The 25,895-nt window shown below is 43.5% G+C and overlaps 4 protein-coding genes, 1 long non-coding RNA gene and 1 pseudogene across 8 annotated transcripts in view; 5 read left to right on the top strand and 1 right to left on the bottom strand.

The window, feature by feature from the left end:
• The window catches only part of WFDC8 (WAP four-disulfide core domain 8), a 28,133-nt gene extending 19,615 nt beyond the window's left edge, over positions 1-8,518 (top strand). Inside the window, exons 3-7 of one of the 3 annotated variants that reach the window (NM_181510.3) lie at positions 678-818; positions 3,802-3,969; positions 6,394-6,534; positions 7,505-7,647; positions 8,058-8,518. In NM_181510.3, the coding sequence (NP_852611.2) occupies positions 678-818; positions 3,802-3,969; positions 6,394-6,534; positions 7,505-7,644 (590 nt within the window). In that variant the 3' untranslated portion in view covers positions 7,645-7,647; positions 8,058-8,518. Of the gene's footprint in view, positions 1-677; positions 819-3,801; positions 3,970-6,393; positions 7,909-8,057 lie in introns of those variants that run through there. The other 2 variants (NM_130896.3, XM_017028119.2) reach the window with 2 other exon arrangements.
• Positions 8,519-12,268: 3,750 nt separating this feature from the next.
• On the top strand, positions 12,269-19,044 carry EPPIN (epididymal peptidase inhibitor). 2 transcript variants are annotated; one of them, NM_020398.4, is made up of 4 exons: positions 12,269-12,403; positions 13,900-14,031; positions 16,803-16,970; positions 17,516-19,044. In NM_020398.4, the coding sequence occupies exons 1-4, from the start codon at positions 12,313-12,315 to the stop codon at positions 17,524-17,526; spliced, it is 402 nt and encodes a 133-aa protein (NP_065131.1). In that variant the 5' UTR covers positions 12,269-12,312; the 3' UTR covers positions 17,527-19,044. The 2 variants fall into 2 exon arrangements, with proteins under 2 accessions (NP_065131.1, NP_001289790.1); NM_001302861.2 differs by having other exon boundaries at positions 16,792-16,970.
• EPPIN-WFDC6 (EPPIN-WFDC6 readthrough) lies at positions 12,269-23,390 on the top strand. Its single transcript, NM_001198986.2, has 5 exons — positions 12,269-12,403; positions 13,900-14,031; positions 16,803-16,970; positions 21,576-21,706; positions 22,120-23,390. The coding sequence occupies exons 1-5, from the start codon at positions 12,313-12,315 to the stop codon at positions 22,135-22,137; spliced, it is 540 nt and encodes a 179-aa protein (NP_001185915.1). The 5' UTR covers positions 12,269-12,312; the 3' UTR covers positions 22,138-23,390.
• LOC107987282 (uncharacterized) overlaps positions 19,283-25,895 on the bottom strand; it is a 52,776-nt gene continuing 46,163 nt past the window's right edge. Inside the window, exons 3-4 of the long non-coding RNA XR_001754641.3 lie at positions 20,991-21,134; positions 19,283-19,595 (exon numbers count right to left, since the gene is read on the bottom strand). This is a non-coding gene — a long non-coding RNA (uncharacterized LOC107987282). The remainder of the gene's footprint in view (positions 19,596-20,990; positions 21,135-25,895) is intronic.
• On the top strand, positions 19,384-19,695 carry HSPD1P21 (heat shock protein family D (Hsp60) member 1 pseudogene 21; annotated as a pseudogene).
• Positions 20,188-25,474, top strand: WFDC6 (WAP four-disulfide core domain 6). Its single transcript, NM_080827.2, has 3 exons — positions 20,188-20,353; positions 21,576-21,706; positions 25,165-25,474. Exons 1-3 carry the CDS (start codon positions 20,263-20,265, stop codon positions 25,201-25,203), a joined length of 261 nt encoding a protein of 86 aa, NP_543017.1. The 5' UTR covers positions 20,188-20,262; the 3' UTR covers positions 25,204-25,474.

Raw genomic sequence — 25,895 nt, 5'->3', positions numbered from 1 at the left:
CCCAGGCATTATAGACATCACCCCATTTAACTCTTATAATCAGCCTGTAAGGCAGGAATTGTCATTCTCATTTTAAAGATGGAAAATATAACTCAGATGAAGGGAAATACTTTCCCAAGATTATTTAGTTGGTTAGTGTTGGAGCCAGGCTCCCGAGCCAGGTCTGCCTGACTACAATGCTTCTTCCACTCCACTGTTTCTTACTCCTTAGAGGTAAATTAAAAATCATACAATGAGTTCAGATTGGTCTTGAGTTTACCAGGAGTCAAGGGTCAAATCAGCCCTCCTGACCTCTACTTCCATGATGTTCCCACCAGTCTTTACTAATTTCTTTTATCAACTGGAGACAAAGGAATTAAGCATTAAAATATTAGGTTTCAAGAAGAGAGAAAATCTTTTGAATTTAGGGAAAGGGCCTTGGTCCCTTTCTAACCCCTTTCCCTGGTATCCAACATGCTTCTCCTTCAGTTCTTCTTGGACACAAATTCCTGATTCAGATCCATTTGAATGAATCTGAGTGCTGAGAAACAGAACTAGCCCCTGAATATAAGCAGAGCAAGAACTAAGAATCGAAGGTAGAGGATAGGGCTGAGAGAATTTCACTACACACCTTTGCCATAGGAGAAAAAGAGCTGAAATTCCGAAAGAATGTGAGTTTGGACATTTCTTTCTTGCAGACAAACCAGGGTTATGTCCCAAAGAGAGGCTCACCTGTACCACTGAACTTCCGGACTCATGTAACACAGATTTTGACTGCAAGGAATACCAGAAGTGCTGCTTTTTTGCCTGTCAGAAGAAGTGCATGGATCCCTTTCAAGGTAGCGATGTCCAGGCTGAGGACAGAGGTTCCCCACTTCTTGCTCTGTCCAAAACTGGCTGAGGGATTCCCTTGGATGGCAGGACAAGGACCCAGGGCCTGTGCTCTTCTCATTCTGTTATTCAATGCCTAACCCTCAAGTACAAGTCATAAGTCTAGGCATGGTGACCATCAATCACCATAATATTGATGCTGGTCTTCTTGGGTCCAACATTCAATTATTCACAAATAACTAATACTTGTTGCATGCGCACTCTGTTCAAGAGACTGTTATGGCACTGTGACAAAATAAAACCTCAGTCAGCTTAAATGCTGGCATTGTTTTTCAGACTCTTTGATCTTCAAGGAGGTTTTCTGGTGACTCAATGTATTGGGCATCTATCTAATATGTGCGGGGAACTGTGTGTTTTTTAAAAAGATTCATTTATTCACTCACTCATACATTTATTCATTCAACAAATATCTGTTGTTAATGCCCTTTGAACAAAGACCACCAGAATACACCTATAGTTGAACAAATTGGGTTTATTACTTATTGAAGTGAGGGAAAAGATTCACCCTAGACAAGTATGAGGCATTTCAGTAAGAAGCTGGTAGAAAGAATCTATTATAGGATTTGGGCTTTGATTGGGTAATTCGGGGGAGGGTCTAAAGAAGTGAGAGTTTTCTCTAGATTGGGTGCTGTCAGAAAGCGGGGGCAATTCTATGACTGGCTATCCCAGGGAATCTTAACAATACAGAATACAGAATAGACTAAGGATAAAGCTGTGATTGATTGGTAGAGAAGCATAAGTCACTCACGTTAGCTTAGAGGGGGGCGGGTGTTTGGTATTTTGCAGGTTTCACTGTGATCTTGTTTTTGTCTCACTTCATCATGATCTCAGAGTGACGTTGGTTGATACAGATGTTCTAGGAGATTTTTTAAATGTCCAACAGAGAATCCATGTGGCTTAGCTGGGAGTGTCAGATCACTTTTCAGACATCAGGGGCTGTTTCTTCCTTGGTATTTCATTCCTTCTAGGTACTAGGCACTTTGTTAGGCACTTTGGATGCAAAAGTAATTGCGGTTTTGGACCGTGAATTTTAAATCATTATAACTAGGCTTAAACACATCTTTATTGGCTGGGCACGGTGGCTCACACCTGTAATCCCAGCACTTTGGGAGGCCAAGGCGGGTGGATCACCTGATGTCAGGAGTTCGACACCAGCCTGACCAACACAGTGAAACCTTGTCTCTACTAAAAATACAAAAATTAGCTGGGCATGTTGGCGGGTGCCTGTAATCCCGGCTACTCAGGAGGCTGAGGCAGGAGAATTGCTTGAACTCGGGAGGCAGAGGTTGCAATGAGCTGAGATCGCACCATTGCACTGCGGCCTGGGTGACACAGCGAGACTCCTTCTCAAAAAACAAAAAAAAACAAAAGAAAATAAAGCAAAACACATCTTTATTAATCAAAATAGGAACCATTACAATCAACATATTTTTGCCAAAGAGAAATAAGTTCGTTTATTGCTGTAGCATACAAATCCATGCTTCAGGATTTGATGAACTCTTGGAAAGCATTTTCTGCATCCTGTTGTTTGTGGATGTGTTTTCCCTGCAAAAAGTTGTTTAGATGCTTGAAGAAGTGGTAGTCGGTTGGCAAGAGGTCAGGTGAACATGGTGGATGAAGCAAAACTTTGTAGCCTAATTCATTCCACTTTTGTGTTGGTTGTGTGACGTGTGGTTGGGCGTTGTGGCAGAGAAGAATTGGCCCTTTCTGTTGATCAATTGGCCCTTTCTGTTGACGAATGCTGGCTGCAGGCACTGCAGTTTTCAGTGCATCTCATCGATTTGCTAAGCATACTTCTCAGATGTAATGGTTTTGCCAGGATTCAGAAAGTTATAGTGGATCAGACCAGCGGCAGACCACCAAACAGTGACCATGACCTTTTTTGGTGCAAGTTTGGCTTTGGGAAGTGTTTTTGAGCTTCTTCTTGGTCCAGCCACTAAGCTGGTCATCATTGGTTGTCGTGTAAAATCCACTTTTCATTGCACGTCACAATATGATTGAGAAATAGTTTGTTGTTGTTGCACAGAATAAGAGATGACCCTTCAAAACAATATATATTTTTTTAATTTTGCTCAGTTCATGAGGCACCCACCTATCGAGCTTTTTCACCTTTCCAATTTGCTTCAAATGCTGGATGACCATAGAATGGTTGACGTTGAGCTCTTCGGCAACTTCTTATGTAGTTATAAGAGGATCAACTTTGATGACTGCTCTCAGTTGGTCATTGTCAACTTCCAATGACCAGCCACAATGCTCCTCATCTTCAAAGCCCTCGTCTCCTTTGCAAAACTTCTTGAACCACCACTGCACTGTATATTTCTTAGCAGTTCCCGGGCTAAATGTGTTGTTGATGTTGCAAGTTGTCTCTGCTGCTTTACGACCCATTTTCAACTCAAATGAGAAAATCACTCGAATTTGCTTTTTGTCTGACATAATTTATATAGTCTAAAATAAATATAAATTAAACAGCAAATAATAAGTCATTAGCAAAAGTACAGGAAGCAAGAAATGTGCATTAAAATGATATATGATATAACCACATTTATTTAAGAATGTATTCTAATATCAAATGGCAAATTTTAACAATGCAAAAACCATAATTACTTTTGCATCAACCTAATAGTTGCTGAACAAGTCTTGCCCTACCAAAGCTCAGGACAGTGGAGAAGAAAGATCAGCTCCAAAGTACAAGATTCTTATATGCACCTTGTAATATTCTTTGCAAGGAAGGAGTGATGCTCAGAGGTGCCATACAACATAGACTATTAGTAGTAGAACTGGGACCAGAACCTATGCCTTTTTTTTTCCCCTGCCATGGCTCCTTTTATGACTTGGGTGATAACACCAGGAGTTATGAGAAATGCTAGGGAACTGACCCTGTTCTTTTATCTCTACTCTTCATATCCTTCTTTCCTTGCTTCCTGACCTCAGAACCCTGCATGCTACCTGTGAGGCATGGAAACTGTAATCATGAGGCACAGCGCTGGCATTTTGACTTTAAAAATTACCGCTGCACACCCTTCAAATACAGGGGCTGCGAAGGGAATGCCAACAACTTCTTAAATGAGGATGCCTGCAGAACGGCCTGCATGTTAATTGGTGAGACCTCTATCCTGGAAATCTGAGGGTCTAGTTTAACTAGAAATAGTATACCAATGAGGTTATAGGCTCAGGATTTGAGGTTAAAGTTCCTTGGTTCAAGACTTAGCTCTGTCATTCACTGGCTGGGAGGTCTTGGGCCAGTTGCCTGCCTTTATAAGCTTCAGTTTCCTTGTCTATAGAATGAGGTTAATAATAGTATTTACCTAATGGAGTGGCTCTGCCAAAAAATGAGATAGTGTATAGAAAATGTTAATAGATCTTGGCCAATGTGACCCGAAAGCCAGGTGTGCCCCCTTGGAAGAAGGTGTTTCCTCATCATAGTAACCTGTTGAGCATCATACTGAGGATTTGCTTAAGAATGAAGTGTAGACAGGCCAGCTCTGGAATCCCATGGAGTAAGTGTCCACACTGGAGGTGGAGAGTAGGGTGGGGTGAAGGTGAAGGCTGTGGATTCATTCCTTAGTATAATGATCATCACCAGCAATGTTGGGAAACAGTGTCCTACCAAACTTAGGAGTCAAATGACCTGAATTTAAATCTGACTTTTCCCACTTGCTGCTTTCTTCATTTCTTTGAATTTCAGTTCCCTCTTCTGTAATTCTGGAGTCACAGCAAACAGCTCGTTGAGTTGTTGGCAGGATTATATGTGATTTAAAACACAAAGACTTGATAGAGTGGTGGTCCCGTGGTGTGGGCTCACTAAACGGTAACAATTGAGATGGTGACCAGTGATCTTCACAACTGTGTGATTTATGAGGCAGCGTTGCAATTTCGACCTCAGATTCTGTGAGGCAAGCTGAAAAATGTACCATCACTACCACTTTACAGATGGGAGAACACAGTCAGAGAGGTGAAGTTAGTTGCCTGAGGACCCACAGTTGGTCAGGAGTAGAGGTGGAATTTTAATTCCATGGACCCATGGGCCTGAACGGCCAAGGCAACCCTGGGACCTGACTTGAAACTAGGACCACAAGCTTCCCTTCATGGGAAGCTCTAAGGAATCATGGTGCTGTGGACAAGAGCCTTGTCTCCTCTCCCAGGAAGACAAGGAAGAGGAGGCCAGGGAAATGGGCTTGGGCTGGTTTGTGGGAAATTTAGGTTAAGACTCAGAGGCAACCTGATAATACCTCTGAGAGTTCAACACATCATAGCCTGAGCCTGACCTGGGGAAGCCCTTGTAGAATTTGCAGTCAGATGAGTACAAGAGCATACAAAACCCCAAAGAATTGATTTAAATACCACCTATGTCCTAATGACCCACAAAGTTGTGTCTCCAGCCCTAATCTGACTCCTAAAATCCACTATCTGCTCTACATCTCCACCTGGACCTCACAAACATCTCATGTTGAACTTGCTTAAACAGAACCTCGGGCCAGGCACAGTAGCTCACACCTATAATCCTAGCGCTTTGGGAGGCTGAGGCAAGAGGATCACTTGAGCCCAGGAGTTTGAGACCAGCCTAGGCAGCATAGTGAGACCCAATTTCTACAAACAACAACAACAAAACCAAAAACAAAAACAAAAACACAACAACAAAAAAAACAGGCATGGTGTCACGTGCCTATGGTCCCAGCTACTCAGGAGGCTGGGAAGATCACTTGAGGAGGTATTCCCACCTCCTCAAAGATCACTTGAGCTGGGGAAATTGAGGCTTCGTTGAGTGACAGTGGGAAACCCTGTCTCAAAAACAGAAAAATAAGCTCAACATAAACATAAACCAGTACCTCTTACCATCACTCCCCTAACGCAAACCGGTTCTATCCATGCTTCTCATCTTGGTTGAAAAACTTCACAATCACAGTTGATGCCTCTCTTTATCAATTAACATCCATTAAGTTAGTTAGGAAATAATTTTAGTTCTACCTTGAAAGTAGATCCTAAATCTGGTAAAACCTTACCACCTCCGCAGCTGCCACCCTGATCTGAAGAGCCATCTTCTTACTTGGATTACCCCAACAGCCTCTTAAAAGGTCTCCCTGCTTCTATCCTCCTTACAATCTATTATAAACACAATAGTCACAATGACCCTTTCAAAACATGAGTCAGGCCATATCACTTCTCTACTGAGAACAGTGTGATGGATCCCCATTTCATTCTAAGTAAAACCAAATACCCTAAAATGGCTTACACTGATTTGTGTAGATTTCACATAATTATCCTCATTTTACAGAGAAGGAAACTCACCAAGTAGCAGGACTGGGACTTTACCATGGGGCTTAAGGCACCAAGCCCAGCATGCTCTCTACCATATCCCATGATATGATGAGACATTTCATTCTTCCACAGCCTACTGGAGATGGATAGGGTAGGGTGAACCAAGTTGCAGAAAGGGATACTAGCTTTGAAGAGAAGGAAAGGCTCTTTGAAGGGTGGTGGGATGGGGGTGGGGTTTTAAGAAGCTCACATCTGCTCTTATTTTAGTTAAGGATGGACAATGCCCACTCTTCCCTTTCACTGAACGTAAGGAGTGTCCACCTTCATGTCACAGTGACATCGATTGTCCCCAGACAGACAAATGTTGTGAATCCAGGTGTGGCTTTGTTTGTGCCAGGGCCTGGACAGGTAAGGATTGGGGATATACCTCCCAAATCTATTGGGCATGTGCCAAGGATGTCATGCTGTCTCCATGGAGTGGGGGGTGTCTTGAACCTCAGATGCTCCTTGGGCTCATCTTTGAGGATCTTTGGGAACCCCTTTTAATGCCCAACAAGTTATATTGACCTCTTGACCTCTGAAGACTATTGTGCTGTTCTTCAAAGCCAGTAATTCATAGCATTGCTCTCTATTCTTCCCCAAGAAAACTTATTTTTTCTGAGACTCATTCCTCAATGACTTGCAAGGTGACAATATTCACCGATTCATAAAAAATTCATAACCATGAGGTGTATTCCTAATAAGCCCTCATGTCTGCACAGAACTTCAAAGCATGCACATCATATTCATATCCTGTAAGATGGGCTGGGGAAAACATTAGTAGCAAATGATGTTGGATAGAAGCCAACTTTCCTGCCTCCTCTAAGGCAGGTGTTTACTTCCCCATGTAGTCCCAGGGATTGTCCAGGTGTGGCTTTAAGGTTCTAAGGTTCAGTATAGTGTGGTGGCAGGAGTCCAAGGCTTTTCAACCTACTTCAACTTTTCTACTGGCTTTCTATGTGGCATTGGGCAACTCATTTCCCTCTAAATACGCCTCAATGCCTACAATTTGTAAAACAAGAAGGTTCTGTGTGCTAATACTCCTGCCACCTGTGGTACTCTGGGGTTATATAACCCAGATCCATTAATTCTGTAGGAGCAGACAGGAATCCTATCAGATGGTACAAGTCAGAGATGGTAAGACTTTTCTTGATGCTCCTCAAGTTATTAGTCGTAGAAAGTTGATACTCTGCCTCCTCCAGTCTATTGTTACTGTAGGGGGAAAGGTAAGAAGCTTAATCAGAATAAAACCTTGTTTGAGATTCCCAAGATTCCTCAAATTTGTCTCAAATTATGACCAAGTATTTCAAGGTCAAGTGTTTTCTTTTACCCCATAAAGTCAAAAAAGGTTTCTGCCCACGCAAGCCCTTGCTATGTACCAAGATTGATAAACCCAAGTGCCTGCAGGATGAGGAGTGCCCATTGGTGGAAAAGTGCTGCTCACATTGTGGACTGAAATGTATGGACCCCAGACGTTGAATAGTAAGTAGAAAATATTATCATCAAAATCATTAATTATGAGTAGCATGATAAAGAGCTGTCAGTTTTGTCTTGTATCCAACTTGCCAAATTATCTTAAGTATCACAATATTGAATGATGTTACTTTGATTTTATATATAATCCCATCATCTGAAAGTGATGATATATTTGGCTTTTTTTCAACTTCATGACTTTATTTTCTTGTCTTCTTGTATTGTGTAGAACCTCCAAAATAATAATGAAAATAAAGGCAATGGCATCCATCCTTGTCTAGTTCCTTATTTTAAAGTCAATGGCTCCTGCACTATAAAAAGATATTTGTTGTTGAATTTGGAATACATAAGTTTTATTGCACTTAAATTATTTTCTTTTTCCTTTTCTTTCTTTCTTTCTTTTTTTTTTTTTTTGTGAGACGGAGTTTTGCTCTTATTGCCCAGGCGCAATCTCGGCTCACTGCAACCTCTGCTTCCCGGGTTCAAGTGATTCTCCTGCCTCAGCCTCCCAAGTAGCTGGGATTACAGGTGCCCACCATCATGCCCAGCTAATTTTTTGTATTTTTAGTAGAGATGGGGTTTTACCATGTTGGCCAAGCTGGTCACAAACTCCTGACCTCAGGTGATCCACCCACCTCAGCCTCCGAAAGTGCTGGGATCACAGGTGGGAGCCACTGTGCCTGGCCAGTTATTTCCTTTTTAAGCCTATTTCCTATCCATTTATAGCTACTACTGAAAATGACTACTGAATTTTATCAAATACCTTTTAAGCATACAGTCACATAATGATTTTTCTCTTCTAATTTGTTGGCATAATAAATTACTAAATTTTCTTGAGCCATCCTTGCATTCTTAATAAACTTAATTGCAGACTGCTGTATCAATATATTATTGGTTCTTTTTAGCTAATAGTATAGTTTGAATTTTCACATCTATAGTCAAAAGAAAAATAGGTCTTTTTAAATTTGTTTTTTCTATTTGGGTCATATTACTTTCAAAAAATGAGTATGGGAACTAATTGGGAAACCTAGCTACTTTTTCTATGCTCTGAAATATTTTACATAATATAGCAATTCAGCATTTTTTGAAGGCTACCAAAATTCAGCTCCAAAAGCATCTAGATCAGGTTCTTTCTAGTGGTATATTTTAGTAATTTTTAAATATTTCATCTTATAGTCTGCAGGTTTTCTACCTCCTCTTCTGCAAATTTTGGTCTTTTGTATTTTGGTAAAATTGATCCATTTTTCCTATATTTTCACATGTATTACTTTAGAGTAGCATAAATTGTTCTCTATATAATTCTTTTATATCTTTAACTTTGGTTAATGCTTTCATTTGTACATTCATGTTTCCACCCACCTATTTACTAACTATTCAATCCCTTTACTCACCTATCCATTCACTCAACACATATGCAAATACCCAATCCCCACTCACCTATCCCTCCTTTCCTTCCACTGACACACTTTTCAACTTAGCTATTTGCCTACTCCATATGTCTATCCACTTACTTTTCTTACTCATCTTTCTTCTACAGACCCACTTGCCCATCTAGCCTTTAATTCATCTTCCTATTATTGACCTCTCTCTTCCCCCTTTCTCTGCACACACACACATGCACACACTCTTTCATACCCATCAAAATACATATTCATCATTTCTATACCTAACTCCCTCCATCCCCCTACCAATGCACTCTTCCACCTTTCATTCAAACAGCCTCCATCAATAGGCCCACATATCCCATCACTACCCTATCCATCTTTATATTCAATCCAATCCACTTATTCACCCAATCATCCACCCATCCATAATCCATGCATTCATGTACCCAAACATCCATGCTTTCCTCACTAATCCCTCTCCCTGCTCAACCATCTTCCCACTTATCACACTCTACCAGCCACCCATCCATCCACATAGCTACCTACCTATTCACACACCTACCAATCCCCCCCACCTACCTTGCTCTTCCAGCAAGATGTACTGAGTGTTTATTTGGGGCCTATTCATGTTTTAAGCACTGCGTTCTAGACACAGACCTGTTTAATGGAGTTCAGAGCTTACTTGGGGGAGCAAACATGTAACTTAGTAATAGAGTTAGAGGCAGAGGGAACAACATAGGAAGCCAGTGACAGAGAATCAGTCCATGTGACAGATCTTGGGCTAATGAAAAAGCAGGAGGTGCCAGGTAGAGGCTGATCTTGTTGGTTCTCGTTGGAGTCCCCTGTTCTAAGCACAGGATTGTTCCTGGGAGAGAATTGGCCTGGAGGCAGAGGTAGGGCACCATGCCCTCAATGAGAAAGGATGAAGAAAGGAGAGGCAAAACCCCAGGTGGGTCCTTACCCAGCCTTCTCCAAGAAATTATTGGAGAGAAGGGGCCAAAACCATGATTTATCCCAAGTCCCAAAGACATAAATTTTATTTCACCTGCTTGGAAAGTGAGATGCTTGGATGGGCCTGAAAATTAGGCAAGACAGAATGGAATGAAGCAACCAGAAAGATAGTTAATTTATTTTCAATAAAATTTACGAAAAAATGCAGCCTTAATTGGGGACCCTGGGTACCATTTAGAAATTTACTGACTTTGGTGAGCCAAGTTTGCGCCACTGCACTCCAGCCTGGGTGACAGAGTGAGACTCCGTTTCAAAAAAAAAAAAAGAAATTTACTGACTTTCACTTTGTGGGTGTTCAGCCTCTGTCTCCACTAAAGACATTACTTCATTCCTTTAGACTCACCCTTCCTCTCTACCTTCAACTCTACAAGAAAATATTATATCCACACCAACATCAAAACATGCCCTGGTGTCCTCTGGCAAGAACTTGTGTGCTCAGCTCCCTCTTAATCTTATTTCTGACACTCACTTGCTGGGTGACATTTAGTCAGCATCCTCACTTCTCTGGGCCTTATGATTCCCATCTATAAATTGAGAAATAGGGCTTGATGGTCCCTCAGAGCCCTTCCACTTAGATATTCCAGTTTTCACTCTCTCCTGGGCTGAGTTTGTGAGAATATGGGAAATGAAATGAGTGAAACAGCACTGCTTACGACGTCTTACTCATTCATTAGAAATTCTAGCCAGGCACGGTGGCTCATGCCTGTAATCCCAACACTTTGGGAGGCTTAGGTGGGCAAATTGCTTGAGGCCAGGAGGTGGAGACCAGCCTGGCCAAGGGCGATACGTCATCTCTACTAAATATACAAAAATTAGCTGTGCATGGTGGTGCATGCCTGTAATCCCAGCTACTTGGGAGGTCGAGGCACGAATTGCTTGAACCGGGAAGGTGGAGATTGCAGTGAGCCGAGATTGTGCCACTGCACTCCAGCCTGGATGACAGAGCAAGAATGTTTTTAAAGAAAAAAAAGAAAAGAAAAGAAAAGAAAGGAAAGGAAAGGAAAGGAAAGGAGAAGAGAAGAGAAGAGGAAAGGAAAGGAAAGGAAAGGAAAAGAGAAGAAAAGAAAAGAAGAAAAAAGAAAAGAAAAATTTGATTCGGTAGTCTCTTCAAGTGAGATTGTCAAGTTGGTGGCATGGGATTCTTACGGCGGCTGTCTGTGATCCTAAATTTTGTGACCATATAGTCACTCTCTGATAATAAGGCTGTCTTTGTCTGGCCTCTGTCTGTCATGTAGGAAAATTTGGAGAACAAACTTGGCCCAAAAGGGTAACTCCTAGTTAGAGAAGAAAACGGGAGCCCTCGGGATAACATTTACTCTGTAAAGAGTGTCTCTCTTCTTCCCAGGACTGGCTGAGTGGCCAGTGTAGATTCCATGGCTGTAGGAAAGGAAAGCTGTCCAAGTTCCCCAGCACCTCTTTCCCACAGCTCCTCTAGCAGCCCAGTTAGAATCCCCAAAGTCTGCTGTGTTACTGAACTTTATTCCACTGCAGTCTCCCAGGCAAGTCCCTTCACTTCATAGTTCCTCAGACATCAAGGAGCTGGCAGTGATGATAAAGGCTCCCTCTAAGCTCTGATATCCTCTCTTGCTCTCAGAGCAACAAAACTTTGAGAAACATTCTCTGAAGACTCTGCTATCAGCCTGATTCCTCCCCTACACCCTGCTCTGTGGCAAATCTGTATTCTTTGGCCTTAGTCAACGAATATGAGTGAACCAAAGATACAATAAAAGACAGAAGGATGGGAGGAAACTGTGGGAGAGGGAGAAAGGAACACAGAGACCATGGGGAAAGAGAAACAGTAGACTTAGGCACAGAGAGGCACAGATAAACAATGAGATACCAAGAGACCGACAGAGACACATTGTCAGAGACAAGCAGAAGGAGTGTGCTAGTAAGTGTGCACGTACGATGGAAAATGAATGAAGAATGAGGACATTCCACCACTCTCCAAGTTATCAAGATGAAGACCCAAGATGGTGGCATTCACTCTGAAGGTAGCCTGGAAAGTGGGAGACACGCTTTGCCCACTCCCTGTGGTTGACTAGAGCCCCCAGCCCAGTGCAGCCTAGGGGTGTAAGGATCAAGATCCATTCAATAAGAGACCCTTCCTCCCAAGCTGTGAGCTGTGGGTGCCAGTTAGTCCCATTTGTGACCTTGGGAACTTAGTGTTCCCAGCAAGAAAGGGGGTGGCTGGCTTGTCTCCAGTTCTTATATCCAAGGTGCAGCAGCTGAGCATTCCAAATTCGGGAACCACCAGAAAGGCTGGCCTCTCTTCAACATGGGATCTTCTGGACTTTTGAGCCTCCTGGTGCTATTCGTCCTCTTAGCGAATGTCCAGGGACCTGGTCTGACTGATTGGTTATTTCCCAGTAAGTATTGGCCTCAGCCCTTACCCTAGAGAGAGGGGAGTTTGCTGGGAGGAAGGAACAGGGAAGAACTCTTCAGATGTGGGTTGCTTTCCACCATCTTAGCCCAGGTCCCGGGTTGGGAGAGGAGAGAGATATTTGTAAGATCCCTCCTGTGTAAGATTCCTTCTGGGAATGCAGTAACCCCAACTTAGGCAATCCCCACTTTCAGCTCCTTTGAAGTGGAGGGTCTTTATCAAGCAGGTGGAGGAGAGTCACAGGATCTAGCTTTCAGGGGAGTCGCTACAGGAATCCGGGAAACCAAGGGACCTTCTCCTTACCCCACAAGCAAAACAGGCCCCTTCCTTGAGGCATCATCTCTATCCACTCTTGGTTCTTTCAAATGTAGTCCCATAAAGTGTCCCTGTATCCCTAGGGGTTCCCTAACTTTGAGATAAAGGACAGCATCCAGAAGTCTCTTTAAACTTAAGACACATTAGTTGTGGAATATTAATTCCATGACTATAATGTAACAATGATCATTGGTATCATTTGCTGAACACTCAGGAAGTAAGGATTTCTGAAAAGGGATTTCTAAAACAACAGAGGGATCTGGAATCAGACTTAGTGGGTTCAAATCTTGGTAGCCCTGTAATCTTGGGCAAGTTACTTAAATTTCATGGGTCTCAGTTTCCGCATGTGTAAAATGGGGATATTAATAGAACTTCCTTCATAGAGCAATTATAAAGATTAAATGAGATCATACATTTAAAATGCTTAGAAGAGTGCTCGGCTTATGGTAAATACTTAGCAAATGTTAGATAATATGACTGTGCATCAGTTACTTTGATTAGGGCTTTATATACTTTGTCTCATTGTTTTCTCACAAAATCCGTAAGGGCAAAATGATTTTACAGATGATGAAACCAAGGTTCAGAGAGGGTCAGAATTCAGACCAAGTCAGAATTCAAAATCTAAACTGGCTCCGGGGTAAGTGATACTAATTGCTGTATAATACTACCACCTAGAGGAACTTCCAAACATGGATTCCTCAACAAGGCCAAAAAGACCGCATTGGCTTACATCAGTGGCCCACAATGGTGTGATTTTGCCTTCCAGGGGACCTTTGCAGTGCCTGGAGACATTTTCAGTTGTTACAATCAGGGGTGCTACTGGATTCTGATGGGAAGAGGCCTGGGATGCTGCTAAACATCCTACAATCCCCAGTTCAGCCCCCCAAACAAAGAATTATCCAGCCCAAATATCACCAGTGGTTGAGAAATTCTGCCTTAGATGGGATGGAGCTGGGGGGTGGGAATAGAGGGAGGAGAGGTCACTGGGGAGTGGTGGGGGTGTAGGCAGTAGGGAAATGAGTGAGGCTGCCCTGAGGAAAAGAACTCCTGGGGGCAAGCAAACTGAAAGCAAACTTCCCTGACTCTCTAGAATTGCCTTGTGTCTGGCAAAGTGGGGAGACACTATGCTCTCTAAGGCACACGGGTGTAAAACCGCTCTTTCCCTAGGGAGATGTCCCAAAATCAGAGAAGAATGTGAATTCCAAGAAAGGGATGTGTGTACAAAGGACAGACAATGCCAGGACAACAAGAAGTGTTGTGTCTTCAGCTGCGGAAAAAAATGTTTAGATCTCAAACAAGGTAATATTCAGAGCTGCAGAATAACCAACCCCTCCTCCCCCTGTCCTCACCTTCTGCCTTCCTGGACTGGCTTTGTGCCCTGATCGCTGAGGGCTGGTCTCTGGCAAAACTGCTGGACTTGGGAGACCTGCGATTTAGATTCATTACTGTGCCAAATATGGTGTGTGCCATTAGGAATGACCTTATCCTATCAGGTAATGTCTGAGACTCAGTTTCCCAGAACAAATCATTGGTGAATCAGTGGCATTGAATCAGATTCTTTTGGCTATTTGGATACCTGTCACTCTTATAATTTTTTGAGCTCCCAGGTGGCCATCGTTGCCCTAACATATGCTGCAAGTGATAAATTAAGCAATTTATATTTCCCAACTTTTTTGCTATGGAGTGACCACCTCTCTGCCTACACAAATCCAACTTTGCACCAAAACGCCTCTCCTGACTGCTCCAGAACAGAGGGTTTCTCCTTTCTGCTGCATCTTAGTTTCATGCCCATCACCCTGGGATGCAAAAAGACTATCAAAGATTCTGTTTTTATTCATTCAACAAATACTGATTGAGTGCCTCTGAGACCCACAATAGGATTTGGTCTCAGTGTGGTCAGGGGGGTTGGGATTGCCTTCTTTGAGAAAGAAAATCTGGGGTTGAGTTGAGAAAGATGGGTAATGTTTTAGGCAAAAAGTGGGTGGAGGGGTTTTCCAGGCACAGGCAGTAGCATGCACAAAGGCTCAGTGGTGGGGCCTTGGGAGTCCAGAACGCAGAGTGAGCACGAGCATGGTACAAGGAAAACAGATTCTGGGTGGGCAGAGATCAAACAATTCAGGTATGGTGGGCCAGATTAAAGAGTCTTGCCTGGATCCCAAGGGCTATGGCAATCCACCGAGGCGGGGCATCATATGACCAGGTTCATACTACATCTATCGAGTTTAAAATAGGAGGAACAGAGTATCTTAAAGGACTTCAAGATGATAGAAATGGTGGCCGGAACTAGAGGTAGCTGAGGGGATGAAGAAGAGTAGGACCTGCTTGAAAGAAAGAGTAGGACATAGGAGGCAAAGTGAACAGGACTTGACAGAGAAGTAGAGTGGGCAGGTTAGGGGGCTAAGTCACTCATATGCCAGCAGGTAAGGATTCTGAATTCAGCCATCCTGAGTTCAACTCTTACCTCCAGTTTTTACGAGCCTTTTTGTCTTGGATAAATTAACAACTTTCCCTCACTGTGAGTCAGTTTCCTCAGATAATAAAAGGATCAGTGTAAAAGATTATTTTGAGGATCCAATTGATCTGCATGATGTGATTAGAGTTATGCCTGGCACACAGTAGCCACCTGATACCTATTCGCTTATTTGTAATTCTTGGCTAAGGGCTCCTAAATAGCAGAGATCATGCCTTTTCTCTGTTCCTTGAAGCATTGAGCACATAATAGGTGCTCAATGAATAATTTATTCAGTTCAGATCAGGATACATTTCGTTTATCCTCAACGTTCCATAAGGTTCTGTACTGTGCCAGGCTACCTGTTAGGAATTGGGATGCCAAGATGAAAGCAGATACACTAGAAACTCACTCCCTGCTCACTAGAAACTCACAGCCTCAGGGATGAGACTGAAGATATAAACAAATGAAAAATGAATGCACAAGACTCTGAAGCAAGGTGTGGCAGTGAGGAATGTAGAATGGGGTCAAGAGTGACATCACAGCAGTTGATGTCTGAGAAAGGTTTTGAAGTAAGAAGAGTGTCACTGTGAGCAGTGCAAAGGGATGGAGGTATAGAGGTAGCACGGTGTGTTGAGTACTGCTGGAGCATGTGGCTCAAAGGGGTTCTGCGGCAGGAGAGGAGGCCAGCGTCACAGTAGGAGCCAGACAATGAAGGGCCTTGTGGGTCATGGGAGGACATTGTCATAGAGTGAAGGTAGGTCTTCTCTGTGCAATGACATGATAAGCCTGGCTCTCAGATCCATCAGATCCTTCTCTCTGGTGGGAAGCATGAAGGATTGATTGGAGGGGCCAGGAATGGAGGCAGGGGGATCAATCTGAGGTCACCTCAACAGTCCAGGCATGAGACACTGAGGCTTATATTAAAGAGACTGGCAGAGAGGTGAGCTATTAGGAGGTAAAAATCAACAGGATCTAATTGTTTAGCAGTGGAGATTTACCCAAATGGAACTGTGTAAGCATTATTTAGTTGGGACCTGCATTTGTTTGGTAGAGTTGCTATAACAAAGCACCACTGACTGGGAGTCTTAAACAACAGAAATGTATTGTCTCACAGTTCCTCAGGCTAGAAGTCCGAGATCAAGGTGTCAGCATGGTTGGTTCCTTGTCAGGGTTATGGGGAAGAAGCATGTTCCATTGCTCTCCCCTGGCTTCTGGTGCTTTGCTGGCAATCTTTGGTGTTCTTTGGCTTGTAGACACATCACCCCGATCTCTGCCTTCACATTCATATGGTGTTCTCACAGTGTGTGTGCCTCTGTCCAAATTAACCTGTTTGTATAAGGACACCAGTCATATTGGTATAGGGGCCCACCCTATTTTGGTCTGACCTCATTTTAGCTAATTACACCTGCAACAACCCTATCTCCAGGGATGCAGATGCCCACTCTGGGGTCTCCTTGCAAATGTGTGCAATATGTCAGTGGAGCTGTGCTCCTGCCATGTGATAAGAGAAAAGGAGCCTACTCCAGTTTCTTCTATAGCAGTTGCCAGGGAGAATAATAACAACTGTTTATTTCTGGAGTGGGCACACTGAGTTTTCAACTCTGGAGTCTCTCTGCAGATGTATGCGAAATGCCAAAAGAAACTGGCCCCTGCCTGGCTTATTTTCTTCATTGGTGGTATGACAAGAAAGATAATACTTGCTCCATGTTTGTCTATGGTGGCTGCCAGGGAAACAATAACAACTTCCAATCCAAAGCCAACTGCCTGAACACCTGCAAGAATAAACGTAAGTCCTAGGGGCCCCGGTCTTTCATCCTCTCCAGTCCCATGCCGGGAGGTCTGGGTGTTGGCTGGTCCATTCCAGGACAGCTACATCTTTGGCAGACCTGGTGCTGACAGAACCAGCTCTGATCAGGAGGTAAGAATGCACCTGGCAAAAGGCAAGACAAAGTTACTTTCTGAGTATGAGGAACTGAGGATGAGAAGGGATGTAGAAGTAATCAATGCTGGCAAGTATGAGGGGAATTAGGAGGGGTGGAGGAAGGGTGTAGAAGTGGTGAAATCTCAGAGATGAATTGCAGAAGAGGCACAGGACGCTAAACTTAAGACACGTTGACCAACCAACCCTTCTAAGCCATCAATGTCTCAACACAACTCTTTGGCAGCGATTCACTCCTATTTGTTTTTCCTTGAAGGAGATGGAGAGCTCCCCAAAGCAAACCCACTACTTTTTAGTGTCTTTCTGTGCAAAGATGTATAAACATAACTTCAAGCTCCAAAGATGAGCTGAACCCAAGATGCTCAGCTGTTTCTGTCCTACGTTCTCTGCAGGCTTTCCCTGATTGGATAAGGATGCACTGGAAGAACTGCCAGAATGTGGCTCATGCTCTGAGTACTGTTCCTGTACCTGACGGATGCTCCAGACTGGCTTCCAGTTTCACTCTCAGCATTCCAAGATCTTAGCCCTTCCCAGAACAGAACGCTTGCATCTACCTCCTCTTCCTCCATCTTTGGCTCTTTTGATGCACAATATCCATCCGTTTTGATTTCATCTTTATGTCCCCTTTATCTCCAACTTCTAGAACTCCCAGTTTATACCTGTGTCACTCTCAATTTTTTCCAGTAAAGTACTTGATGTAGTCCTGTGCCTTGAGGCTGAGTGATTGACATCTTTTTGGCACATTACACTTTGCAGAGTAAGGGATCATTGAGGCTTCTGGTGACATCATTCAAGGGAGTGAAGACAATCAGAACTTTGAGAGTTCAGAGTTCCAGGAATATTGTTATTGTTATCTTCCTCTGTTTCTACAAAAGATTGTAAAACCCTTTTTAGGCAAGGGCCCAAGGACAGTGCCTTAGTTTGGATCCTCTAGAAACTAACCCTGGGAAAAGGGCATGGGTGCAGGTAGTTTGTTTGAGAGATTTCCCAGGACATACAAGATGGGGAGTGAGATGAGTAATTCAGGGAAGAGAAGGGAAGAGAGAAGAGTCTATTATGAGCTGGTTACTACTGTGGCTCAATCCTATTGGGGACCTTTTAAAGAATCATGTAAAACAGGCTTACAAATTTTCTTTTTAAAAATATTTTATTTTATTTTACGTTCCGGGATACATGTGCAGGACCTGCAGGTTTGTTACATAGGTAAGCCTGTGCCATGGTGGTTTGCTGCACCTATCAACCCATTACCTGGGTATTAAGCCCCGCATGCATTAGCTATTTATCCTGATGCTTTCCCTCCCCCTGCCCCCTCAACAGTCCACGTGTTCTCATTGTTCATCTCCCACTTGCAAGTGAGAACATGTGGTATTTACTTTTGTTCCTGCGTTACTTTGCTGAGGATAACGGCTTCCAGCTTCATCCATGTCCCTGCAAAGGACGTGATCTCATTTCTTTTTATGGCTGCATAGTATTCCATGGCATATATGTACCACATTTTCTTTATCCAGCCTATCGTTGATGGATATTTGGTTTGATTCCATGTTTTTGCTATTGTAAATAGTGCTGCAGTGAACATACACATGCATGTATCTTTATAAAAGAATGATTTATATTCCTTTGAGTGTATACCCAGTAATGGGATTGCTGGGTCAAATGGTATTTCTGGTTCTAGATCTTTCAGGAATTGGCACACTCTCTTCCACAATGGTTGAACCAATTTACATTCCCAACAGTGTAAAAGCATTCATGTTTCTCCACAGCTTTACCAGCATCTGTTGTTTCTGGACTTTTTAATAATCACCATTCTGACTGGCATGAGATGGTATCTCATTGTGGTTTTGATTTGCATTTCTCTGATGATCACTGGTGTTGAGCTTTTTTTCATATGTTTGTTGGCCGCATAAATGTCTTCTTTTGAGAAGTGTCTGTTCATGTCCTTTGCCCACTTTTCAATGGGGTTGTTTGTTTTTTTTCTTGTAAATTTGTTTAAGTTCCTTGTAGATTCTGGATATCAGACCACAAATTTTCTTAATCTGTCTCCAGTGATGGGAAAGCTAAGCTATTTGTCCACTGATTCCCAACGCCCACTGGATGCCAGGGATACTAAATCCCTCGCTCTTTCAAACTGTTATACTTGCAAGCTATACAAGCTCCCTGGGGGCCAGAGAAAACCCACAGCAGAAAATTAGGGACTGATGCTAGAGGTAGGAGGCTGTCAATGTGCATTGGCTATTATTCGGCCATAAAAAGGAATGAACTTCTCACTCACCACTGATGACATGCCTTGCTGCACACACACCCTGCTGCCACCCTGCAGAAATGCTTCCATTACCCACAGTCCTTTGCCAGATGGAACTGATGCCCAGGTAACTGGCTCCTCACCTCCTTCGGGCTTATACCAAGGATATAAAACTTGGTACAGATGCTCAAGCGTTAATGCTTCAGGGTGTGACTTTTAATCCAATGCTGTAGCTGTGACAACAGGGAAAAACGGAGAACAGAGTTGGAGAAGTCCCAAAGTAATGAAAGAAGTTATTTACTGTTGCAAAATCAAACGACTTAAAGGATAAATGTAACTGATCTTTACATACGAAAGAAGAGAGAGGGAAGTGAAGGGCGGGGAGAAAGAGACTCAGACAGACAGAGACTCCCTGAGAAAAAGACAGGCACAGAGTAAAAGACATACAGATGCACAGAAAAGAGAAGAAACAGAGTGAGAAAAATAAAACATAAGAATAGACATGTCAGGAGAAGAGTGAAATTAGAAAGAAGGAAGAGAGCTAGCATACTGTTAACCTGCAAACTCCCCCTGGGAAATGGAAGACTCTGGAGTTAAACCTCCCCTTCTGCTAAGGGAGCCTGGAAAGCCCAAGACAACATGTGCCCTCTTTCCCTGGTAGACCAGAAAGCCTCAGATTGCTGAGGATTAGGAGCCACCTATCCCCCAGTGTAGGTACCAGGTAGTCCCACTGATGGCCTCAGGGATCTGGTGTTCCTGATCGGGGAGTCTGGCTGGCTTGTCTCCAGGGCTGTCTCTTAAGGTGCTGGGCCACACCGGGGCAGGCAAAGTGCAGATGTAGGAGCTGCTGAGGAGCAGTTCTTAGTTTTGGTGCCATCAACCAGGCCAGTACTTCCTAAAATGGGACTCTCAGGACTTCTGCCAATCCTGGTACCATTCATCCTTTTGGGGGACATCCAGGAACCTGGGCACGCTGAAGGCATCCTTGGCAGTAAGTATTGGGAACTCCGTCCTTGCAATGGGGAAAGGAAACTCAGTGGGGAGGAAGGAACAAAGAATAATTTTGCAGCTGAGAAATTATTTTCTCCACCTCTGCCTGGAATTCCAGGTGGGAAAGAGGGGAGCTATTTGAAGTCTCTTGGTAAGAGACTCCCTTGGTGAATACAGGCATCCAAATCTGTGGCAAGTGACTCCTTGCTGCCATTCCAAAGAGTTCTTCCTGGAGGTGCCTGGACCTAGAGCTCATGAAATGAACTAAGAAGGAGTAGTAAGCCCAAGGAAGTCTCCCACAAGAAAAACAGGCTGCTCCCCACAACACCACCTGTGTCAACTTCCAAATGTTCTCATTGCAGCCCCCACACCCATACCCACAGAGGACCCTGGTCTTTGGGTTAAAGAATGGTCTCCAGAAGTCCCTTGGAATGCTGAAATGTGAAGACTCACAATTAGCAGCTAACTGTACTGGGCACTGAAAATTAGTGGTTGAAAGTGAGCACTCAGGAGCCACACATTGTAGGTTCAAACCTGGCTCCACCCCTGAGTAGCTGTGTGATCTTGGGCAAATTCACATAATCTCCTTATGCTTCCAATTCTTCTGTTTACAAAATGTGAATATTAAGAGTACTTACCCATAGATTTGTAATGAGGATTAAGGAGAAAAGGCAGCTCACAGTAAGTGCTTCATCCATATTACTCATTGTTACGTTACATTGCCCCAGGCAGTTTGACGATGGCTTGTCAAACTGTGTTGCTGGTTAGTCTTCAAAGCAACCCTATGGGCAAATGAGGAAATCAAGGCTCAGAGAGAGTGCCTGGCACACCAAGCGTCTCACAGAATTCAAAAGCCCAGCTATCTGATGCCAGAAATGTTAATCTCAATCATCGAGAGCCACAGCACCTCCTGGGGGAGCAACCAAGCACAGCAAGGCTGAGTGACCAGAACAGTCTTAGAGGAATGCGTCTTTCTCTCAGGAATCTCATAGATGGTGCGGGTAGGGGGTAGGGGTTGGTTTAGGCATCCGATGGTGAGTTGTTATGGGGTTGGGGATGTGAGCAGTGTTGTGAAATTCCTGAGCCCCCTGAGGGCCACTACCTTCTGGGGATAGGTGAAGTGGAAACAAAGTTCTCTAACTCTGGAGGGGTGCCCTGGTCTCGGGGAGGGGGAGCACTGGCTCCTTTAAGGCCTTGAGGGAATATATCTTCCCCTCCCTTAGAGCCGTGTCCCAAAATCAAAGTGGAATGCGAAGTGGAAGAAATAGACCAGTGTACCAAACCCAGAGATTGCCCAGAAAACATGAAGTGTTGCCCGTTCAGCCGTGGAAAGAAATGTTTAGACTTCAGAAAGGTAACTCAGATGCTTCCTAAATTACCCAGTGCCCTCACCTCCTATCTCCACCTGCACTGCACTACCTCTGTCTCCTAGTTCACTGATGGCTGGTCTCTGACCAAGAGTTTAGGTACATCTTCTACTTGACACAAATCTGCCAGTCCTGGACTTGGGAGACATGGATTTTATTTCATTTCTTCCTCTATTTTGGTAAGTGATGTGAACAATGTAGTTTTCCTTTCTGGGCCTCAGTTTCCCTTTCCATAAGACAGGTGTGGATAATGGACCACATGGTCTCTTGGCTACTCTTCAGTGATTCTCGAGATGCCAAGTAGTCACCAAAGTCTCATCAAATGCCAACATTGTGTCAGGTTATATGATAGCTATAAGAGACAGGTATATAATCTGTATTTCCTGGCTTTTTTCTCTAGGCCTCTCTGTCTACATAAATCCAGGATGCCTTCCCTGACCACCTTAGACCGCCTACACTCTTTCTTCTCTGCCCATATTATTGAGCTCTAAAGAAGATCATCAAGGACCATTCGTTCATTCTATTCATTCAACAAATATTGATTGGTGCCCCTGACACCCATGATGGGTTCCACTTGCTCATTGTGGCCAGGAAGGTCAGAAAAGTTTTTCTGGGAAAGAGATCCATGATTTAAGATCTGAAAGATGAGTACTTAGACCAAAAATGGGAAGAAATAGCCTTTCAGGCCAGATAATAGGATGTGCAAAGGCTCTGTGGCAGGAGGCAGGATGTTCAGGTCTAGAAAGGCTAGAAAGCAGAGAGTGAGCAAGAGACAAGAAACAGGAAACTGGTAGTGTATATTCAGGGCAACTTGAATCTGTATTCCCAAGTGGCCATCCTCAAGTTTTGGGGTCAAATAAATGCCCTACTTAATGATATTTTCTGAATCTTGTTACTTTAGGTTGACATACCTTTCAAGACAATAACTAGGTTTTCAGTGCTTTGATAAAACCTCAAATGTGTGGCCTTCCAGCCAGGCATCTGTGGTTTCATATTGTTTAAGCATTTGTTGCATCCCTATGGATTGCAGCTCTCTATAGGTTCGCTGTTGCTGAACCAAGAAATAAGGCATACACAGATTTCTAGAGAAATTGTAATTCTATAACAGATTTTCAGGAGATGAGGAAGGCTGGTATCTTTCAGAGTACAAAGTGATTTTGGAATTGAAAGAATTTCTTTGGGTTAAAGTTTGTCACTGACTTGTGTTCCTGAACCATGAAGCATGAATATGTGGGCTGAGAAATAGTTTCTCTTGATAAATAAACAAGTAACAAATTTTAAAAAGAGAGGAAGATGAAGCTGGGCTAGTTGGGGGAAGGAGAGCTGGTAAGGGATCTGGTCTTGATCCTAACAGCAATGGATTAACCTATGTTCAAATCCCTTACCATCTGTGTGGCCTCAAGAAAGTTATTTAGCCTCTCTAAACCTTAGTTTTCTCATCTGCATAATGAGAACAATGAGAGGACCTACTTTACAAGATTAAATGTTAATAGATGTCAACTACTAAGAACACTAATCAATGCTATAATTGTTGTTTTGTTGTGCTGACACTAATCAATGCTACAATTGTTGTTTTGTCGTGCTTCAGACCTGAGGTTCTAAAGAACTCTATTTGTACCTCATAGCACTATGGGCAAAATAATTGCTCAATAAATGCTTAAGATCAGGGTAGATTTGAGTTTTGGGTTTTTTTTTTTTTCTGTGAATACTCCTGAAGCATCCTCTCTATGCCAAATTACCTGCTAGAAACTGCTGTATCAAGATGGCATAAGATGCAATCCCCTCTCAAAAACCTCACATTCTCATGGAGGAATCAGAAAATATGAACAAGAAAGTAAATGGAAATGATAAATGTGTGTGCAAGACTGAGAAGCAACGAAGAAAAGCAAAGAGTAAAGAATGAATCCAGGAAAGACTGCATAAAAGAGTCAATGTCCGGAAAGGGTTTTAAAGAATGAACAAGAGTTCACTTAGCAAGAGGGGGCTGGATATGTCAGGCATGTGCAAAGGCACGGGGTGTGTAAGAAAGTGCTATTTTTAGAGCATAAGTTTGGGAAGTTGGGTGTTGGGGCAGCATAAGAAATAAAGCTGGAGAGGAGAAGGAGAAAATGGATTCTGAAGTCCCTCTGGGTTTGGTAGAACTTTATCCTGTGCCCAGCAGATCGGCCATTCTGGAAACCAATGTTGAGCAGATTGGAGAAGTCTTGGAGATCAGCTGGTGGCCTTTCATGGAGTCCTTGCAAAAGATAATTATGCTTGAATTAAGAAAGCAGCCGGAAGGAAATAAAGGAGAGCTATTTAGGAGGCAAAATCAGCCAGATTTAGTGTTCAGATGTTGGGGAGGCAAGGAAAAAGAAGCCATGTGATGTCACAGCTGCTCCTTCCAACAGCCCTGTTAGGCGAGCAGGTTGGGATTTTGTATTCTCATCTTACAGATGAGGAAGTCAAGGACCAGAGAGGTAAAATGAGTGGTCAGGGTTCACACTGAATTGGGAACAGAGCCCTGAGGCAAATTTGCTTCTCAGTGGAGACAAAGGGAATGGTGGCCAGAGAAGGGGAGAGATGGACATTCTCCAGGGAGACAGGCACCCAAACAGCTCTATTCTGCGATCTCCCTGCAGATATATGCAGTATGCCACAGGAGGCTGGCCCCTGCCTGGCCTCCATACCACACTGGTGGTACAATAAAAAAAACTAAGATCTGCTCCGAATTCATCTATGGCGGTAGCCAGGGGAACAATAACAACTTCCAAACTGAAGCTATCTGTCTGGTCACCTGCAAAAAATACCATAAGTCCCAGAGGTCCCGGTCTCCTGTGCTCACCAAGGCCACACTGGGAGGTCTGGGTGTTGGCTGGTCTATTCCAAGACCTGGGTGGCGCTGGGGATGACAAAACCAGCTCCAATGCAGAAGTATAAGTAGAAGGATATTTTGGGAAAGAGGGTGGGAAGGGAGGGATTAGTCAAAGGGATATTGGCAAGTATGAGGTGAGTAGTGGGTGTAGAGAGAAAACAGAAGTGGTGGAGTATCCCAGACCAGGTCAGACGGAAGCCCGGTAAACCCAGCCCAGCCCTGGGCACCATTCATCAGCCAATCATTATAGTCCTTTACTTCTCACTAAACCTTGTTGCTACTTCTCTTCCTTTGAAAGGTTATTTCTAACCAGGGCAACCACATACTTTATTGGCCAAACCAAATCACTTTTGAAAGTGTCTCAAGGTGAGGTGCCATTAATTATTACACTGAGACAACAGGCATAAACTGGGACTCTACTGGACAAGTCAGAACTCATGATCATTCTAGGAGCCCCCAAACTCACCTTCATTCCATTCCTGCCCAAAGATGTAAAAATGATCCCACCTCCTTTTTCCCATTAGGTGCAAGATTTGGTTCCTAATGTGGTCAGGGTCCAAGCATCTCACCCTTTATTCTTCTGCTTCACAGGTCAGCCTTACTTTATACCATAAGGAGGAGCTTGAATAACCTCCAGGATTTGGCTCATAATCCAGGCCTCTCTCCACGTGTGCCTGATTGATGCTCCAAATTGGCTTCCACGGGCCAAACCTTGGCTGTTCCAGAAACTGAACCCCAGGAATTGCTTACACACTTTCTTCCAGCGTAGCATCTCTTCAAACACAATGCTCTTCCCCTTGACCACTTCTCAGTATGAAACTCTATGTCTTCAACTTTCAGACCCCCCATTTATTTGTATGAAGGCTTCAGTTGCCTTAATAAAGTGCTCTGTGGGGTCCGATCTCTCCGAGGCTGAATAATTCACATCTGCAATATGCTGATATTGACATACACTCACATCTCTCTATATGCAATTTTCAGAGAACAAAAAGCCATTGCATTTTCTGGTGACACCAAAAAAGGGAGAGAGTATGAAAATCCTGCAAATTGAGAATGCTAGTGACATTGTTACTTTGGTAAAGTTGTCGTTAAGATGCTGAAGAATGGAGCCAGTGCAGATCCAGATTTTGTATGGTCTAAACCTGATAAATGAGGAGCTCCTTTAGAAACCAAGCACAGGCTGGGCACGGTGGCTCACGCCTGTAATCCCAGCACTTTGGGAGGCCAAGGAGGGCGGATCACCTGAGGTCAGGAGTTCAAGACCAGCCTGACCAACGTGGAGAAACACCATCTCTACTAAAAATACAAAATTAGCCAGGCGT

The sequence above is a fragment of the Homo sapiens genome, chromosome 20 (genome assembly GCF_000001405.40).
Source record: "Homo sapiens chromosome 20, GRCh38.p14 Primary Assembly".
Lineage (NCBI taxonomy): Eukaryota > Metazoa > Chordata > Mammalia > Primates > Hominidae > Homo > Homo sapiens.
Note: the sequence above shows the minus strand (reverse complement) of the source record. Positions and strands in the feature narration are given on the sequence as shown.

Excerpts from the sequence above, each read along its gene's own strand:
- EPPIN (NM_020398.4), top strand. The coding sequence starts at position 12,313 with ATGGGATCTTCTGGACTTTTGAGCCTCCTGGTGCTATTCGTCCTCTTA. Across the intron at positions 12,404-13,899 it reads GACTGATTGGTTATTTCCCA|GGAGATGTCCCAAAATCAGA; the intron begins GTAAGTATTGGC and ends CTCTTTCCCTAG. Across the intron at positions 14,032-16,802 it reads ATGTTTAGATCTCAAACAAG|ATGTATGCGAAATGCCAAAA; the intron begins GTAATATTCAGA and ends GTCTCTCTGCAG.
- EPPIN-WFDC6 (NM_001198986.2), top strand. The coding sequence starts at position 12,313 with ATGGGATCTTCTGGACTTTTGAGCCTCCTGGTGCTATTCGTCCTCTTA. Across the intron at positions 12,404-13,899 it reads GACTGATTGGTTATTTCCCA|GGAGATGTCCCAAAATCAGA; the intron begins GTAAGTATTGGC and ends CTCTTTCCCTAG. Across the intron at positions 14,032-16,802 it reads ATGTTTAGATCTCAAACAAG|ATGTATGCGAAATGCCAAAA; the intron begins GTAATATTCAGA and ends GTCTCTCTGCAG.
- WFDC6 (NM_080827.2), top strand. The coding sequence starts at position 20,263 with ATGGGACTCTCAGGACTTCTGCCAATCCTGGTACCATTCATCCTTTTG. Across the intron at positions 20,354-21,575 it reads CGCTGAAGGCATCCTTGGCA|AGCCGTGTCCCAAAATCAAA; the intron begins GTAAGTATTGGG and ends CCCCTCCCTTAG. Across the intron at positions 21,707-25,164 it reads AATGTTTAGACTTCAGAAAG|GTCAGCCTTACTTTATACCA; the intron begins GTAACTCAGATG and ends TCTGCTTCACAG.